The sequence below is a fragment of the Homo sapiens genome, chromosome 12 (genome assembly GCF_000001405.40).
Source record: "Homo sapiens chromosome 12, GRCh38.p14 Primary Assembly".
In the NCBI taxonomy this organism is placed as follows: Eukaryota; Metazoa; Chordata; class Mammalia; order Primates; family Hominidae; genus Homo; species Homo sapiens.
In genome coordinates this window covers 108,531,172-108,548,049 of record NC_000012.12, presented here as the reverse complement: position 1 = coordinate 108,548,049, position 16,878 = coordinate 108,531,172, and the positions used below count along the sequence as shown (strand labels likewise).

The window sequence follows — 16,878 nt, the reverse complement described above, 5'->3', positions numbered from 1 at the left end:
AGTCCCTGCGCTTAGCCTACCCTTTGGTATTAATGCGGGAAGTATTTTTGTCTCGTAGAGCTCTGGCTGGAGTGGCTGCATGACGAGATCAGCATGGCCCAGGATGGCCTGGACAGAGAGCACGTGTATGACCTCTTTGAGAAAGCCGTGAAGGATTACATTTGTAAGTTCCCGTGGACTTTTTTTGGATATCTGGCAATGTCATATATATCAGTCTGCTGTTGAGGACTGTATTATGAGATGTTGCTACCCAGAAAAGGGAACGTTAGTTTCACAATTAGCAAGATTTAAGTTGAGTTGTCTTATCATTGTCTTTGGTCTTTAATTGAGGAAGTTTAATTTTAAAATAAAAGTGGAAGAAGCACTTGTAGTAAGGGAATGAATACACTCACACTCAGGATTTATTGACAGTGAGAACTTACATGGTATTTCCACTGATCTTTTATACATTCAATAGGTTTTTAGAGGTTTTGGACAGGATGCTTTAAAAAAAAAGATTAAAACATTAAAAGAAAACCTTTTTATTTTGAAGTAATTATAGAGTCATAGGAAGTTGCAGAAATAGTACAGAGAAGTCTTGTGTACTCCCTTCACCCAGTTTCCTCCAATATCTTGTTTCTGTAATACAAAATCAAAACCAGGAAATTGACCTTGGAACAATGGGAAAAAAAAGACATTTTATTACATGTGTAGATTCATCTAACCACTGCTGCAGTCCAGATACAGAGCTGTTCTGTCCCCACAGAGACCTCCCTCGCCTGCTGGTATTGACATCTTACCAGTGCAAGTGAAGTATAGAAGACTCACCTCCCTTTAAGTCTCTTTACCGTCCCTTGTATATAGTATAATTGTCTTAAATATTTTCTCCATGTGAATTGGGGACCACATCAGACAATGCTGTGGACAAAATGCTTTTAAAAAGCGTTTTAAGGCTGGGTGTGGTGGCTCACGCCTGTAATCCCAGAACTTTGGGAGACCAAGGCTGGTGGATCACTTGAGGTCGGGAGTTCAAGACCAGCCTGGCCAACATGGCAAAACCCCGTCTCTGCTAAAAATACAAAAATTAGCCAGGCATGGTGGCACGTACCTGTAATCTCAGCTACTCAAGAGGCTGAGGCAGGAGAATTGCTTGAACCTGGGAAGTGGAGGTTGCAGCGAGTTGAGGTTGTGCTACTACACTCTAGCCTGGGCAACAGAGCAAGATTCTGTCTCAAAAAAAAGCATTTTAAGGCCAGGCATGGTGGCTTATGCCTATAATCCCAGCAGTTTGGGAGACTGAGGCAGGCGGATCCCTTGAGCCCAGGAGTTCGAAATCAGCCTGCCCAACATGGGGAAAACCCCATCTCCACTAAAAATACAATTAGCCGGGCGGGGTGGCATGCAGGCCTGTAATCCCAGCTACTCAGGTGGCTGAGGCATGAAAATTGCTTGAACCCAGGAGGCGGAGGTTGCAGTGGGCCGAGATTGTGCCACTGTACTCCAGCCTTGGCGACAAAGTGAGACTCTGTCTCAAAAAAAAAAAAAAAAGCATTAAAAAAATTTCCCCTTTCAGACTGGGCATAGTGGCTCACGCCTGTAATCCCAGAACTTTGGGAGGCTGAGGCAGGTATATCACGAGTTCAGGAGATTGAGACCATCCTGGCTATCACGGTGAAACCCCATCTCTACTAAAAATACAAAAAACTAGCTAGGCGTGGTGGCATGCTCCTGTTGTCCCAGCTACTTGGGAGGCTGAGGCAGGAGAATTGCTTGAACCCAGGAGGTAGAGGGTGCAGTGAGCCGTGATCATGCCTCTGCACGCTAGCCTGGGCGACAGAACGAGACTGTGTCTCAACAAACAAACAATTTCCCCTTTCAGATTTCGTACCCTCTTCCTTGTTGATTTCCCAATGGGAGCAGTCCCCCTGTGAGAAGCATTGCTACTAACCAGATAGACTGTTCTGAGATGATAGAGAATTTTTTGTGTATCTTTACAAGCCAAGAAGAATTCACAGTTTTTTGGTTTATAATCTGAATAATGAAAATAAGCGGTGTTTTATGAATATAAAACTATATTATATGTGTGTTTTTTTTTTTTTTTTTGAGAGAGAGTCTTACTCTTTCGCTTAGGCTGGAGTGCAGTGGTGTGATCTCGGCTCACTGCAACCTCCCCCCTACCCAGGTTCAAGCGATTCTCCTGCCTCAGCCTCCTGAGTAGCTGGGACTACAGGTGCCTGCCACAACGCCTGGCTAATTTTTCTATTTTTAGTAGAGACGGGGTTTCACCATATTGGCCAGGCTGGTTTCGATCTCCTGACCTTGTGGTCCTCCCACGTCAGTCTCCCAAAGTGCTGGGATTACAGGCGTGAGCCACCGCACCTGGCCAAATGTGTTTTTAAAAACTATACCTGTATCTCTGCTCTGTGGCCCATGAGTCTTCTTTTAGAGCCACTGATAATTTTAGCAGTGCATGGTGTTCCCATGATTTCTGATGATCCTGTTACCCCCTTCTTACTCTCTCACAGGCATTGTTAATAGCACCATTTATCTTTTTCTGAGGATCTATGGTCTTCCCCAGACTGTAATGTTTTTTAGTCCTTTATGGTCATCTCTGCTGTTAGGCCTTCACTGTCATTTAGTGCTGCTGTCTGAGTACTTTTTTGGTAGGCACATTTCGTTTGTTATGCATCAGTTTTGATATTTGGGTATTTTATATCCCAAACTAATTGAACACTTCTTATTTTTAGGTCCTAACATTTGGCTAGAGTATGGCCAGTACTCAGTTGGTGGGATTGGTCAGAAAGGTGGCCTTGAGAAAGTTCGCTCCGTGTTTGAAAGGGCTCTCTCGTCTGTTGGTTTACATATGACCAAAGGACTCGCCCTCTGGGAGGCTTACCGAGAGTTTGAAAGTGCGATTGTGGAAGCTGCTCGGGTGAGTACCTGTGGTTGTCTCTGAACGGGTTGGGGCTGTCTTTGTAAGTCTCCTTGGAAGGATTATTTTGAAACACATGTCCATGATGAATCTTGCAGTTCATATAGTTAACAAAATGGTCTTTGCCAATCCCTTAGTGGTGGGGTGATAGATAACCTTTTTTTATACCCCTTCTAGCATTTGGTACAATATGTATGGAAGAGGTCGTATAAATTTTTTTAGCTTGAACTGAAAATTTGTTGAGATATTTTTTGAAGTAGAAAGAACCAGAGTTGGCCAAGTGCGGTGGCTCATGCTTGTAATTCCAGCAGTTTGGGAGGCTGAGGCCAGAGGATCACTTGAGTTCAGGAGTACAAGACCAGCCTGGGCAATGTAGTGAGTCCCCATCTCTACAAGAACTAAAACATTAGCTGGGCATGATGGCGTATGCCTGTGGTCCTAGCTACTCAGGACTCTGAGGTGGGAGGATTGCATGAGCCTGGAGTGTGAGGCTGTAGTGAGTTGTGATCACACCACCACACTCCAGCCAGGGTGACAGCAAGAACCCTTCTCAAAAGAAAAAGAAAGAACCACAGTTTGTCATTTACTACTAATTTGCTTCTTTAGCCCGTAGCTGGCTTCCTTTCCCCTTTTGACCGGGAACAAACCTTTGATTCACAGCTTGAGAAAGTCCACAGTCTTTTCCGGCGACAGTTGGCGATCCCACTCTATGGTAAGAGAAACTGACATGTCAACAGCCAGCCCTCTATGGTTTTTAAAATGCTTTGGGGAACAACATGTAGTTAGACCTTTCCCACCATCCTGTGAGGCAGGTAAAGCTGGTGTTCTTACTCTCCTTGGATATTGTCTCTTTGGATGAGGTCCTTGGTAAAAACATCTTGAATGTTAGTGCTTAAGAGGGTTGTGAGGGTCAGAGGCAGGACTGGAAGCCAGACTCCCTGACTCCCAGGTGAGAGCTCTTTTCTCCTTTGAGACCTAGTTGGAAGGGCAGAGATAGGGTCTCTGAAAGGAATAGTGAATGACACCTGTATTTTTTGGGGAAACTTCATTGAACAAGAGTTCCATTATAATCATTTTCTCTTCACAAGTAACCTCTTCCATAACAGCAGGAATTTTACATGAGTTTAGATCATTCCTCTATGGGAGGGATTTGGTTCAGAAGTGCAGTTGATTGGAAGTACTCATAAGTGAGTTTCTTGGGGTTTGGTAAAGAGTTTCCTTATTTGGTAAATACATTTTGGCAATCTAAGCCTTTGAGTCTTTGGAGCTATGAGTGTGTGCGTGCTGGGAGGATTTTTCTGAGTATGGGAAGAGTTTGTCATGGCTGTTGTGTTTGTTCCCTAGACACGGGCATGTGTTGTACATACTCAGAACCTCTGGGCAACTTTACTGGAGCCCACATGTTATTTCTCTTCATGGTTTATTGGATTTAACAAGTTATAAAGTAGTCGTCTAATCAAATGGTTGGGTATCATGCAGAAAACACTAGAGCTGAGCCGGCTTGCAGATTTCACCTACCAGCGTGAAACAACCTAGCATAATGATTAGAGTGCGAACTTGAGCCAGACTGCTTGGGTTCACAGCCTTGCTCTACCATTAACTGTAGACGAGCAACTGAACCCTCTGCTTCAGTTTCCTCAACTGCAAAATGAGGATCACAATAGACTACCTTGTAGAGTGGGATGACTGAATGAGTTAGTGGATGTGAAGTGGTAGAACATAGGTAACACTGGGTAAGTGTTGTTAAATCGTTGCCACTAGTGTCATTGACTGATTAATTAGCTGGGAGGGTTGCCTGGGACATTGTTTTAAGACAGATTCTACAGACAGGTTTGGGCTCAGCAGAAATCAGAATTTGATCAGTAAGAGCTGCCATGCCACAGATGTGGGAGGGGCTAGTGGCACCTGAGTCTCATGGCTTAATCTGTGTTTGGGTTGATAAAGCCCAATGGCAAGACCCACGGGGCTGAATCCATCTTTCAATAGATATGGAGGCCACATTTGCAGAGTATGAAGAATGGTCAGAAGACCCAATACCAGAGTCAGTAATTCAGAACTATAACAAAGCACTACAGCAGCTGGAGAAATATAAACCCTATGAAGAAGCACTGGTAAGTGTTGGCTTCTTTTATAGTAAACGTCTCTCTACAAACCTTTCCCTGATGGATAGTTGCGAGTTAAACAGTATCTTTAAAATGTTTTATTCTGAAATATATAGAGTGTATAAATGTATACGTACAGTTTACATACTAATAATAAAGTGAACATCCATGTACCTACCACCCAGGTTAAGAAATAGAACATTGCCAGTACCTTAGAAGTCTCCTATGTGCCCCTCTCCGATTGCCTCCTCCTCCCTCTCCCGAGAGGTAATCACTTTCCTGACTTTTGTGATGATAATTCCCTTGCTTTTCTTTATAGTTTTACAAGCTATGAAAGTATCCTTAATTAATATATTGTTTAATTTTGCTTGCTTTTGAACTTTTATATATTGGAATCATGCTGTATATTTTATTTTCATTGAACATGCTTTTGGGTTTTACTCATGTTGCTAAGTATAACTCCGGTGCATTTGTTTTCACTGCTGTAAAGTTGTCTGTGTACTGCGATGTATTTATCCATGTTGCTGGATAGTTGGGTCATTTCCAGGTTTTTGCTAGGAGAAGGAGCAGCGCCACTCTGAACATTCTTGTGTGTATCTCCTTGTACACATGAAAAAGAGTTTCTCTAGAATACGTACTTAGGAATGACTTTGCTGGATCATAGGGTGATGTTAAAGTGTTTTCCAGGTTATCAGTTTGCACTGCTGTGAGCAGTATCTGAGAGTTCTCGTTGCTTGTGCCAATCTTGGATATTGGTCATACTTAAATTTTACTTAATTTGATGAATTTGAAATTGTAGTTTTAATTTGTATTTTCTTGGTTACTAATGAAGTTGAGCATCTTTTCACGTGGATTGGCCATTCAAATTTTTGTGCGTGTTAAAGTGTTCAGGCTGGGCACAGTGGCTTATGCCTATAATCCCAGCACTTTGGGAGGCCAAGGCGGGAGGATTGCTGGAGCCCAGGAGTTTGAGATCAGCCTGGCAGCGTAGCACAACCCTGTCTCTACCAAAAAAAAAAAAAAAAAAAAAAAAAAAAAGCCGGGCTTGGTGGCATGTGTCTGTAGTCCCAGCTTCTCCAGAGGCGAAGGTAGGAGGATTGTTTGAGCCCAGGAGGTCAAGGCTGCAGTGAGCTGTAATCATGCCACTGCATTGTCACCTAAGTGACAAAGCAAAACCCTATTTCTTAAAAAAAAGTCTGGGCCGGGCGGGGTGGCTCATGCCTGTAATCCCAGCACTTTCGGAGCCCAAGGCAGGTGAATCATGAGGTCAGGAGTTTGAGACCAGCCTGGCCAACATAGTGAAACCCCGTCTCTACTAAAAATACAAAAAATTAGCTGGGCATGGTGGCGGGCGCCTGTAATCCCAGCTGTTTGGGAGGCTGAGGCAGGGGAATCGCTTGAAGCCGGGAGGTGGAGGTTGCTGTGAGCCGAGATCGCACCACTGCACTCCATCCAGCCTGGGCAACAGTGTGAGACTCCGTCTCAAAAAAAAAAGTCTTTGACCCATTTCCCTTTTGATGTATCTTTTTTCTAATTGATTTGTGGGAGTGCTTTGTCTTAAGTCTTATTTTAGGCTGTATGTGTTGCAGATTTTCTCCCCAGTTGTTTGTCTTTTCACTTCTTTTTTTTTGAGACTGGAGTTTCGCTTTCACCCAGGCTGGAGTGAAGTGGCGTGATCTCGGCTCACTGCAACTTCCGCCCCGCCAGGTTCAAGCGATTCTCCTGCCTCAGCCTCCCAATTAGCTGGGATTATAGGCCCTTGTCACCAAGCCCCGCTAATTTTTGTATTTTTAGTAGAGACGGGGTTTCGCCATGTTGGCCAGGCTGGTCTCATACTCCTGACCTCAGGTGATTCACCTGCCTCAGCCTCCCAAAGGGCTGGGATTACAGGCGTGAGTCACTGCAACTGCCTTTTCACTTTTTTATTTTTTAACAGTGTCTTTTGATGAACAGTTCTTAGTGATCAATTAGATTAAAATTCTTTCCCTTTTGGTTGTGCTTTTGTTGTGCTTATTTAAAAAATATTCCCTACTTAGCTCTAATTTCTTCTAAAAGTTTTATAGTTTTCTGTTTCATATTTAGGCCCTCATCCACCTGGGATTGATTTTTGAGTGGTATGAGACTGCGTCTGGTTTCATTTTTCCATATGGAGAACCAGTTGTTCTAGTACTGAGTTTGATCATTCCTTCTTCCCCTCACTGATGTGCAGTGCCACATCTGTCATAGATTAGCTGTCCATTTATGTGTGGGTCTTTCTTCTGGATTTTCTGTTCTGTCCCACTGGTTTATGTTACACTGTTGTAATGATGAGAGTTATAATGTTTTGCTCTTGGATAGGGTGAGTCCCATCCACCTTTTTCCTCTTCAAGAGGATCTTGGCTTTTTTTTTTTTTTTGCCTTCAATGCTTCCATCGGATTTAGAATCAGCTTTTCTAGTTATATTTTTAAAATCTTTTTTTTTTTAATTGGAATTGCATTGAACCTGGAGATCAATTTGGGGAATAATTTACATCTTCCAATCTATGAACATATATAGGTTTCTGCTACTTATATCTTGTCTTTCTGTAAAGCTTTATAATAATATTATAAATTTGTCCAGTGTCTTCAACACTTGACCTTTAGAGTCCCCTGCAAGGGAGATTTGCTGGTAACAGATTTTCTGTGTTCAAAAAGGTCTTTGCTTCCCTTCTTGAAAATTATTTTCTTAGGCTATAGAATTCTAGACCGACAACAGCAAAAGAATTCTAGACGGACAATGTGTCCTCTCAGCAATTGATTGTATCTTTCTGTCTTCTGATGTCTGTTGTTGCTGTTGAGAAGTCAGCGGTTTGTATAAATCTTGCTTCTTCAGAGGTAGTCACTTTTTTGTCTGACTGCTTTTAAGATCTCATTGATTTGGTTTGCTGTCCTCTAATTTCACTGCAGTAGGTCCATGTGTGGACTGGCTTGAAGTTTTTTGGGCTTCTTGACTCTTTTTTTCTATCTTTCTTTGCCAACAATAGGATTGTGAAGGTCAGATTCTTAATATACGTCAAGCCAGCAAAAGGTTAATGTTTACTTAGCTTGCCACCCTCATTTAGATTTTGTCCTTAGTCCTTAGTATTTCTTGTTTCTTTGCCAGTTTGTTGATGACTTTTAAGAAGATATTATATTTAATTTAGCAGTTTTAGTTGTTTTGAATGGTACAGTGTGTCTGGGTAACTAATTCTTCCTCGTTACTGGAAATGGAGGCCCTGAAACATCCCCTTTCTACATATGGAGTCTGTGTGTTCTCTTACTCTCCTGCACTGCTTCATCCTTTCTTTTTCATGTGTAAATGATTTGCATGTACCTGTGCTTCCCAAAACTTCGATCATTCAATTATGTCATGGCCATCAGCAAAATGTGCCTGAAGAGAAAACATGTCGAATAAGATTTTTTTCTAAAAAGAATTTGATTGTATGTCTTTGGATCATTAAACATTCAGCACAGCTGCCTTCATCTTCTGCATTTATCTACATTCTTCCAGGAACTGATATTTGGAATAAGAAACCTGAAATAGCATCAGGCACCAAAATTTTCCAGTTTGGTTGTATTAACTCTACTCAGTAGCCCAAGAACATGACTTCTGGTTTGGAAGGGTGGTTGACAGTGGTCACTGGCAAAGGTGTTGCTCTTTCACTCAGTTCCTGATTGATGGGCTACTTAATTCCCTGTGGTCTAGGAATGGATTTAGAAAAGAGTTTATGGAGCCTTTGTAGCGACTGCCATGAACTGGCACTTTGGACCAGATGAGAAGACTCTTGTTTTGCTCAAGAAGTTGTAGAGGCCATAGTGGAGTGGTTCTGAGAGTGAGGATTTGGCGATTCATAGTTACTGTAGCCAGTTTTGCCAAAATTTATTTTATTTGCAGATGTGTTGTGCTTCCTGCCAGTAACTAAATTCAATACAATTTTCCTGTACTCCAGTTGCAGGCAGAGGCACCAAGGCTGGCAGAATATCAAGCATATATCGATTTTGAGATGAAAATTGGCGATCCTGCTCGCATTCAGTTGATCTTTGAGCGCGCCCTGGTCGAGAACTGCCTTGTCCCAGACTTATGGATCCGTTACAGTCAGTACCTAGTAAGATCACTGTTCTAATTTCATTTTATTTTTGCCAATTTAGAATCTACTTAAAATCAGTAAGAGTGCCAGGAGTTTGTTGCATACGGCCCTACTCTTGCTTTTCCTCCATCTGCTTTTTCTCCTCTTTGCCAACTCGTTTAGAAAGTTTTAGTGTTTCAAGTTATTTAAAAATGGTCACTAACTGTAAGTAAAATGAGCATATTGTCTGTGTTGAGGACTTATAACAACTTGATATTTTTCTTTTAACTTTTTATTATGGCAAAAATGTAAACATATAAAAGTAGACAGATCAGTAAAATGAAACTTCTGTACCCCTCACCCAGCTTCAACAATTAGTAACATTTATAGCTTTAGTTTACTTTGATCTGTAGTCTCACCTACTTGTCCCTTCTGTGTTACTTTGAAGCAAATCCAGAAATGATATTTCGTTGGTAAATATTTCAGTATGTGTATATAAAATATTTCAGTGTGTCTGTATAAAAGGATCCAAATGAGGTCTATCCAGTAGGGTTGGCTGACGTCTTTTAAGGCTGTTTTAACCTGTAAGTTGCTCCTCTCCTTCTCCTCCACTCCCCTTAGTGATTTTTTTGTTGTTGTTGAGGAAACCAGGTCACAAGAGATGTTTATAAGGACATTTCTTTCATCACTTGGTCGTGCTGGCAATGTCTTGTTGATGGTGAATGCTTAATAAAGTGTAATTTCCTAACTCTGGAATTCTTTATCATAGGATCGACAACTGAAAGTAAAGGATTTGGTTTTATCTGTACATAACCGCGCTATTAGAAACTGCCCCTGGACAGTTGCCTTATGGAGTCGGTACCTCTTGGCCATGGAGAGACATGGAGTTGATCATCAAGTAATTTCTGGTGCGGATGTTTTTGTGGGAGAACTTCTAAGCTATTTGTCCCAAGTGAAAAACAGAGAGCGGTGACAAAGTCATTACATCAGTGTTCCCTGGGGTTTTCTTTGGGTTATGGAGTGTAGTGACAAAAAGGGCTCTGAGTGAGAGATGAACTGGTTATATTTGTGGCTTCTTAGAGCTTTTTAACATGCTAATATTCATTGTATTTTCTAAGAAGTTGTAGTGTTTTCTCCAAACTTCCTTGATCTGGAACTTTTCTTGCAGGGCGTCTTGTGGAAGAAGTTTTTTCTAGAACACAGTCTGTAGAGTGCTGTAGCAACTTCTGTCTTCAACATTCCTGTCTAGCTCATTTCATTCTGTTGCATCTATTAGTCTTTAAAGTCATGTAGTGTTTTATAGTCAGTAGAATGTAGTGACTTTCTATTAGTTTCCATTTGAATTGGTAACAAATCCTGACTTTTCTCCAACTCCAGTAACCTTCGAGAAAGCTTTGAATGCCGGCTTCATCCAGGCCACTGATTATGTGGAGATTTGGCAGGCATACCTTGATTACCTGAGGAGAAGGGTTGATTTCAAACAAGGTATTTAAGCACATGTTTTTCACTTTAGAGCTGAACATGTTCTTAATACAACTTTTGGCGAGATGTCCCAGTTCCCCAGATACATTGTGATTGGGCAAATGATGTAGACTAGGTATTGGTGACTTTTTCCCCCAGAAATCTTAGCAATTTCTGTCTTTAACAAGTCATGATGTGGATTGTAAAGCAAGAGAGTAATCGTTTATACTGGCTCCTGCCAGCCTTTTTAGTCTTAGCTCTCATTTCTCCTTTCAGGTCTTTTTATTTATCCTAAATACTTCTTGAAATAAGTCTGCTGTGTTTTAGAAAAATCTTTGTACCTCTGTGGGATCCTTTGCCCCTTCATGTCCCCCCGAAAACAACCAGAAAACCCCTAACTTGTACTTGCACACTCATGTCAGCTGTCACCTCATACAGGTAGCCTTTAGCCATTCTCTTGTTTGCCTGTGTCACCCCAGCTGGGGGAGACTCCCCCCCACAGCACCCTGTGTTTGCCTTTTTCACCACGCTGTCCATGCTCTATTCTGTTCAAATTTCTTTCTCCCCAACTATGTGATGAGGGCAGGAATTGGCAATTTTATTTCTGTGTCCCTTGCATGATGCCAGGTACATAGTGGGTCTCCAGGCAGTTTCAGCATAGGATAAAAAATAAAACAAAGCCAGGCTATGTGGTTTCCTAAAGCCTTTTTTTGCACTTTCCGTTAGACTCCAGTAAAGAGCTGGAGGAGTTGAGGGCCGCCTTTACTCGTGCCTTGGAGTATCTGAAGCAGGAGGTGGAAGAGCGTAAGTATGCCCCAGCCTGTGGTTTTGCCCAGTTGTATTTCCTTGTCTGTACTATTTCCTGGTTGATGTACCTTTTCAGCCAGCGACTATCTGTCTCCAAGTTCCTTTCTAATTTTACTAATTCTGTTTTTGAAGGTTTCAATGAGAGTGGTGATCCAAGCTGCGTGATTATGCAGAACTGGGCTAGGATTGAGGTAAATGTTTTTGACACATCTAGCACTTTCATCCATCATTGTTTAATAGCATCCTATTAAACTTTAATTAAAATTGAGTCAGAATCCCAGATAATGGCCTAAGCTCTATAAGGATTTATGTTATTACCTAGGTAATGGTCTAGGCTCCACAAGGATTCATGTTATTTACCTAGCTTGACATATATTTGTAAATATGTTGGTGAAAATATTAGCTCCCAGCTAGAAGTTGTGCAGTAAATGTTTAGATGCTAGGTATTCACTCGTTTACTTCTGTCTCTGCCTCTTTGCTTCATTTGTGAGAGCACAGTGAGCGTGTACTGTTTGTCAGCACTGTACTAGGTGCTGTGGGAATAAGACAGATAAAATTCCTTTGCTAGTAAGGCTTCTATCTAATGTAGAAGACAGATGATTTGACAAGTAATTAGAGGATATGATGACTTGAATGTCATTACTGGGTCAGGGACACCAAGGTCAGTAAGACACGGAACCTCCCTTGATCAGCAGGTAGGATTGTAACAATTCTAATCATGTTTTCTCCTCGGAGGGAGCGTCAGATAGAAGAAACTAACATTTGTCAGGTAGTTTTTATATGGGATGCTTATCTTTTAACCATTTTAAAGATGAGAAAACTGAGAATTACAGGTTAAGTAATTTGCCCAAGTCACAGTTTGTAAGTATTAGTAGCAGAGTGTGCATTTAATACTAGATCAGTCTTTTTTTTTTTTTTAACATTGTCTCTCAAACACTTGTAGTTAAGCTTGATAAAAATAAAAAACGTGACTATCTAGTACTGTCGAGTAAGTACCGTGCGCTCCCTCTCTCGGTTCTCAGGAAACATAGGTAGATTAGCTTGTGGCTGCAGAAAGGCTCAAGTGTTTGGGCTGGGTCGTTTACCACTGGAGGGAGGCCTGGGGAATGCCCAGGGACATCTGTAACACTAATAGTTGTGGGGTGCTTTTTATGTGTGTCTGTTGGAAGTGTGTTGTATGATGGGTGTCGACGTCATAAGGTTCAGGTCTCCTAACAGCCTGCTGATGCACTTTAGGCTCGACTGTGCAATAACATGCAGAAAGCTCGGGAACTCTGGGATAGCATCATGACCAGAGGAAATGCCAAGTACGCCAACATGTGGCTAGAGTATTACAACCTGGAAAGGTAACTGATCTCGGGGTGGGGAGGGAGGCAGTGCTTGTCAGCTGTGCACCTGTCTTCACTCCTGGCTGACTCCTACCAGCTTGGACTAGCTCCTTAGAACTGGGCTGTTTTCTTTCATTCTGTCTCTTTCAGTAGTGGGTACATTTTTAATGGGCAGGGCTAGAGAACCAGACATGATATTTTGTGCCTGGAACTCTTATAGCCATGCATTTCTTTTAATTTGTTTTTGTCTTGATTTTTGGGCATGATATTTTATTTGACCTTTTGGAGCTATTTGTTTTTTATATTTGCTTTTATAGAAAAGTAGAAAATACTAAAAAGCTAAGAGAAAAAAAACTCAAATTACTGACCCAGTCATAACCATGACCCATTCTTTGAGACTTTTCTATGTTTAAATTTTTTTGTAATGAAAATGCAATTATAGCATGCATGTGTTACAAGCCTTTAAAACTATTTGAACGAAATAAGATAGGCCTAACAATATTTATAACATGGGGAAAACATAAAGAATGTGACCAACTTTTCAGTCTGTCTTGAACGTTGTTCATTGCATAACATTGCTACATTGCTGGGTTTTCTTTTTTGAAGATTTTTTCCCTATTTAAAAAACACTGTGTGCCCAAATTAGAATATTTACAAAAATATGTGATAGAAAGCGACAGTTTCTTTTCTTTTTTCGGGGGAGGTGGGGAGTCTCACTCTGTTGCCCAGGCTGAAGTGCAGTGGTGCAGTCTCAGCTGCAACCTTGCCTCCTGGGTTCGAGCAATTCTTCTGCCTCAGCCTCTTGAGTAGCTGGGATTACAGGCGTGCACCACCACACCTGGCTAATTTTTGGATTTTTTTTTTTTTTTAGAAGAGGCACAGTTTCACCATGTAGGTCATGCTGACCTCAAGTGATCCTCCTACCTCGGCCTCCCAAAGTGTAGGAATTACAGGCATGAGCCACCATATCCGGCTAAACGTGACAGTTTCTTACAATCCCACCCCAGAGATAACCACTGTTAAAGCTTGTTGAATATCCCCCTAGATCTGCAGTTCACAATTTTTTTGGTCTCAGGATCCATTTTCCACTCTTAAAATTGGAGGATCCCAAAAAACTTTTATGTATGTGAGTTATATCTATTGATATTTATAATTTATAAATTGAGAAATCTAAAAAACATTTTAATTTATTTAAATATAACAAATTATCTAACATTAATATCTTTTTTGAGCAGTGACTGTTTTCCAGACCCCAAAATAATATAGTGAGAAAAGTGGCAGTGTTTTCTATTTTTGCAAATATATTTATTTGCACATTATTCTGACCTAGGAGAAGACAGCTAAATTCTCATGTCTGTTACTGATTCTGTCTGTTGTGATCTGTTGTTTTCATTGAAGAGGTTAGGAAAGAAAGGTATTTTAGAAGCATTTTCAGATAATTGTGGGTATTCTTCTTTCATACATATTATAGCAAAACTTCAGTGTTGCATGTGGAATCTGAAACCATATTGACAGAGTCTGTTACAGTAATACCCATTTGTCTATTTTATCTTTTACTTGATGCCACAATTCTACGACATTATTTGGAAAAATCCCAATTCACTAAATCATGCAGCTCTTCCAATGTTGACATATTTCATCCTATAGTATTAAAAAATCGTATTTGTTCATATCTGTATTGATCTTAGTTGAAAAGTATTTTAAGTAGGAAGCTGTCAGACTTGTGGTGGCAGATACAAGTTTTCCAAAATTCTAATTTTCACTTGAAAGCTTGAATTCTATCACATGCAACAAATAATGTCAGTGGTTTTCCCCAGAGTGGCAGCCTCACTTTGTTAATTTTCAAAAATGTCTGCCAAATACCCAGGTCTGAGTAACTGACCGTGGTTTGTCACTCAAGTTTCCTTTCAAGTAAAAATGGTGTCCTTGAAAAAAATGACTTGATTAGCTTGCAACTCAAACAGTAATATGCTTTTTTTTTTTTTTTTGGCAATAACCATTGTACTTCAGTATGCAGAAGGGCTTTAAGTGTACTTAGTATTTCATCACACAGTGCATTAAAAAGATTTCTACTGCCTTGATTTGTGCTAAGGGCCACCATTACTTGTGCACTGTCTTGAAGATGTCAACACAGTGAAAAAGTCCAGTAATGTCTTGGTATTATTATAAAAGGAGTTTTGACTTTGCAGGGCCCCTGAGAGGCTCTGGGAGATCCTCAGGGGTACGTGGATCTTACTTTGAGAACCAGTGCTCTGAATTTATTCTGAGCATCATAATATGTATATATAATTATGTATATTTAAAATGTTTTAAAAACAAATATGAATACACTGTTGCATAACAGTTATGATTAGCAGAATTGTGTAGCTGTTGTGATTAGCAGTGTACAAAAAGGATCTGTTTGCGACCAGCCTTGCCAACCTGGTGAAAACCTGTCTCTATTAGAAATACAAAAATTAGCTGGGTGTAGTGGTGGGCACCTGTAATCCCAGCTACTCAGGAGGCTGAAGCAGGAGAATTGCCTGAACCTGGGAGACAGAGGTTGGAGTGAGCCGAGATCGTGCTATTGCACTCCCACCTGGGTGACAAGAGCGAGACTCCCTTTCAAAAAAAAAAAAAAGATCTGACTCTGGGTATGAAATTTGACACTACCCTGGATTCATAACTCTCCTGTCAGTAGGACGCCATAGTAAAATTTCCCTGGGGACTGTATCAGGTTACAGAGAGCTGTTGGACTCCCCCGCCATGTGCCGCACATGTGAATGCTGTAAAGGCAGAATGCTGGTTGCAGATCACAATATCAGGTACACTTTCCAGTAGCCCCTACATGGCTGAGGGAGAGAGTGCTTCAGGGAAATACTTCGTAGGTGACTGTAGAGACTCTGGAAGGAGAAAGCATCATGGATAGATCTGAAAGCTAAGGTCTTCTCAGAAGCTAGAGTTACTGAAGAGTGAGTTTCTACCTGGGAGAAGACGGCCTCTCCCTTCGAGTGCCTTCCACTTTGTGTCCTGGTGGCAGCAACTTTTTGTTTTCTGCCTTAGAGCTCATGGTGACACCCAGCACTGCCGGAAGGCTCTGCACCGGGCCGTCCAGTGCACCAGTGACTACCCAGAGCACGTCTGCGAAGTGTTACTCACCATGGAGAGGACAGAAGGTGGGACCCCCAGCTCTCTTCTGGCTTGGAGCCTAACCCATTTGCTGTTTGGTCTCAAGTAGGAGCATCTGGTTACAGTCTGGGGACAGACTGTGTTTATGCTGCCACCTTAGGTGGTGCCCTATGATTAGACTGTCACAAGTGTCCTGAAAATGAGTCCTCCTGCAGCTCTTCTCAAATTCTGCAGCTACAAGGAGGACTCTGTGATGTCACTGTAGCACAGGGTTCTAATTCTCTGTGGGGGGGACTGTGCGTTATACAATGTTTAGGGGCATCCCTGGCTTCTAGCCCTGAAATGCCAGTAGCAGCTTCACCACCACAACCAAACATGACAACCAGAAATGTCTCTTAACATTGCCAAATGTCTCTTGATGGGCAGGATCCCTCCTTTGAGAGTCACTGTGCTCTAGTACAACATCTATCCAACAAAGGAGCTTGGAGAGGCAAATGGCTCAATGTGTCCTTTGCATCCCTTGTTAAATTTCAGAGCCTTCAGTGTTAGCTAGAACCAATAGAAAAATAATGTGAACTTATCTGTGGGTATTGGTCTGGATTTTGGGTATGGACCCCTCAGAACTGGCTTGCAAAGACCACCAAAAAATAAGAAATAAATGCCTCAACATTTGAGTAGCTCTTAAAATTCTTCAGTCTTAATATAAATGTACTTTTGCATTAGAACGTTCGTTTTCATATTCTTTGCCATTTAGAGCCCTTAATAGATCATATTCTGGTTTTCAAGTCTCTCCTGAAAGGAGAGGGACATTTTAAACCCACTTAGAAGGACTATTTGAATTCTGAACTTCAAGCCTACAGGGATTACATTTTCTTATTGTTTGATGGGAGAGATCTCTTCTGGAGGTACAGAGAAATTAAGAAAAATTTATGTGATTGTATCCTTCAAAATCCTAAAGAGTGAAAGTTTTGCTTCTCTTTCTTTCAAGGTTCTTTAGAAGATTGGGATATAGCTGTTCAGAAAACTGAAACCCGATTAGCTCGTGTCAATGAGCAGAGAATGAAGGTAATGACAATGTTTGAAGTCTTTGGCACCTC

At 41.3% G+C, this 16,878-nt stretch overlaps 1 protein-coding gene across 3 annotated transcripts in view, besides 2 other annotated features; it reads left to right on the top strand.

Annotated features, from left to right (window-relative positions):
* Window positions 1–16,878, top strand: part of SART3 (spliceosome associated factor 3, U4/U6 recycling protein) — a 38,960-nt gene that overhangs the window by 13,124 nt on the left and 8,958 nt on the right. The window contains exons 3-14 of one of the 3 annotated variants that reach the window (NM_014706.4): window positions 59–163; window positions 2,727–2,911; window positions 3,572–3,623; window positions 4,898–5,022; window positions 8,961–9,116; window positions 9,847–9,985; window positions 10,455–10,562; window positions 11,265–11,342; window positions 11,478–11,536; window positions 12,582–12,691; window positions 15,716–15,828; window positions 16,770–16,846. In NM_014706.4, coding sequence (NP_055521.1) covers window positions 59–163; window positions 2,727–2,911; window positions 3,572–3,623; window positions 4,898–5,022; window positions 8,961–9,116; window positions 9,847–9,985; window positions 10,455–10,562; window positions 11,265–11,342; window positions 11,478–11,536; window positions 12,582–12,691; window positions 15,716–15,828; window positions 16,770–16,846 — 1,307 coding nt within the window. Of the gene's footprint in view, window positions 1–58; window positions 164–2,726; window positions 2,912–3,517; window positions 3,624–4,897; window positions 5,023–5,205; window positions 5,281–8,960; window positions 9,117–9,846; window positions 9,986–10,454; window positions 10,563–11,264; window positions 11,343–11,477; window positions 11,537–12,581; window positions 12,692–15,715; window positions 15,829–16,769; window positions 16,847–16,878 lie in introns of those variants that run through there. The other 2 variants (NM_001410983.1, XM_047429916.1) reach the window with 2 other exon arrangements.
* Window positions 6,610–6,669: an enhancer, noted in NCBI's record as "active region_6962". NCBI's record gives its function as "activates an Ori minimal core promoter by ATAC-STARR-seq in GM12878 lymphoblastoid cells {active_cell/tissue: GM12878}" and the evidence as "EXISTENCE:reporter gene assay evidence [ECO:0000049][PMID:35858748]".
* Window positions 7,751–7,951: a silencer, noted in NCBI's record as "peak1936 fragment used in MPRA reporter construct". NCBI's record gives its function as "represses an SCP1 promoter by STARR-seq MPRAs in K562 erythroleukemia cells {active_cell/tissue: K562}" and the evidence as "EXISTENCE:reporter gene assay evidence [ECO:0000049][PMID:32103011]".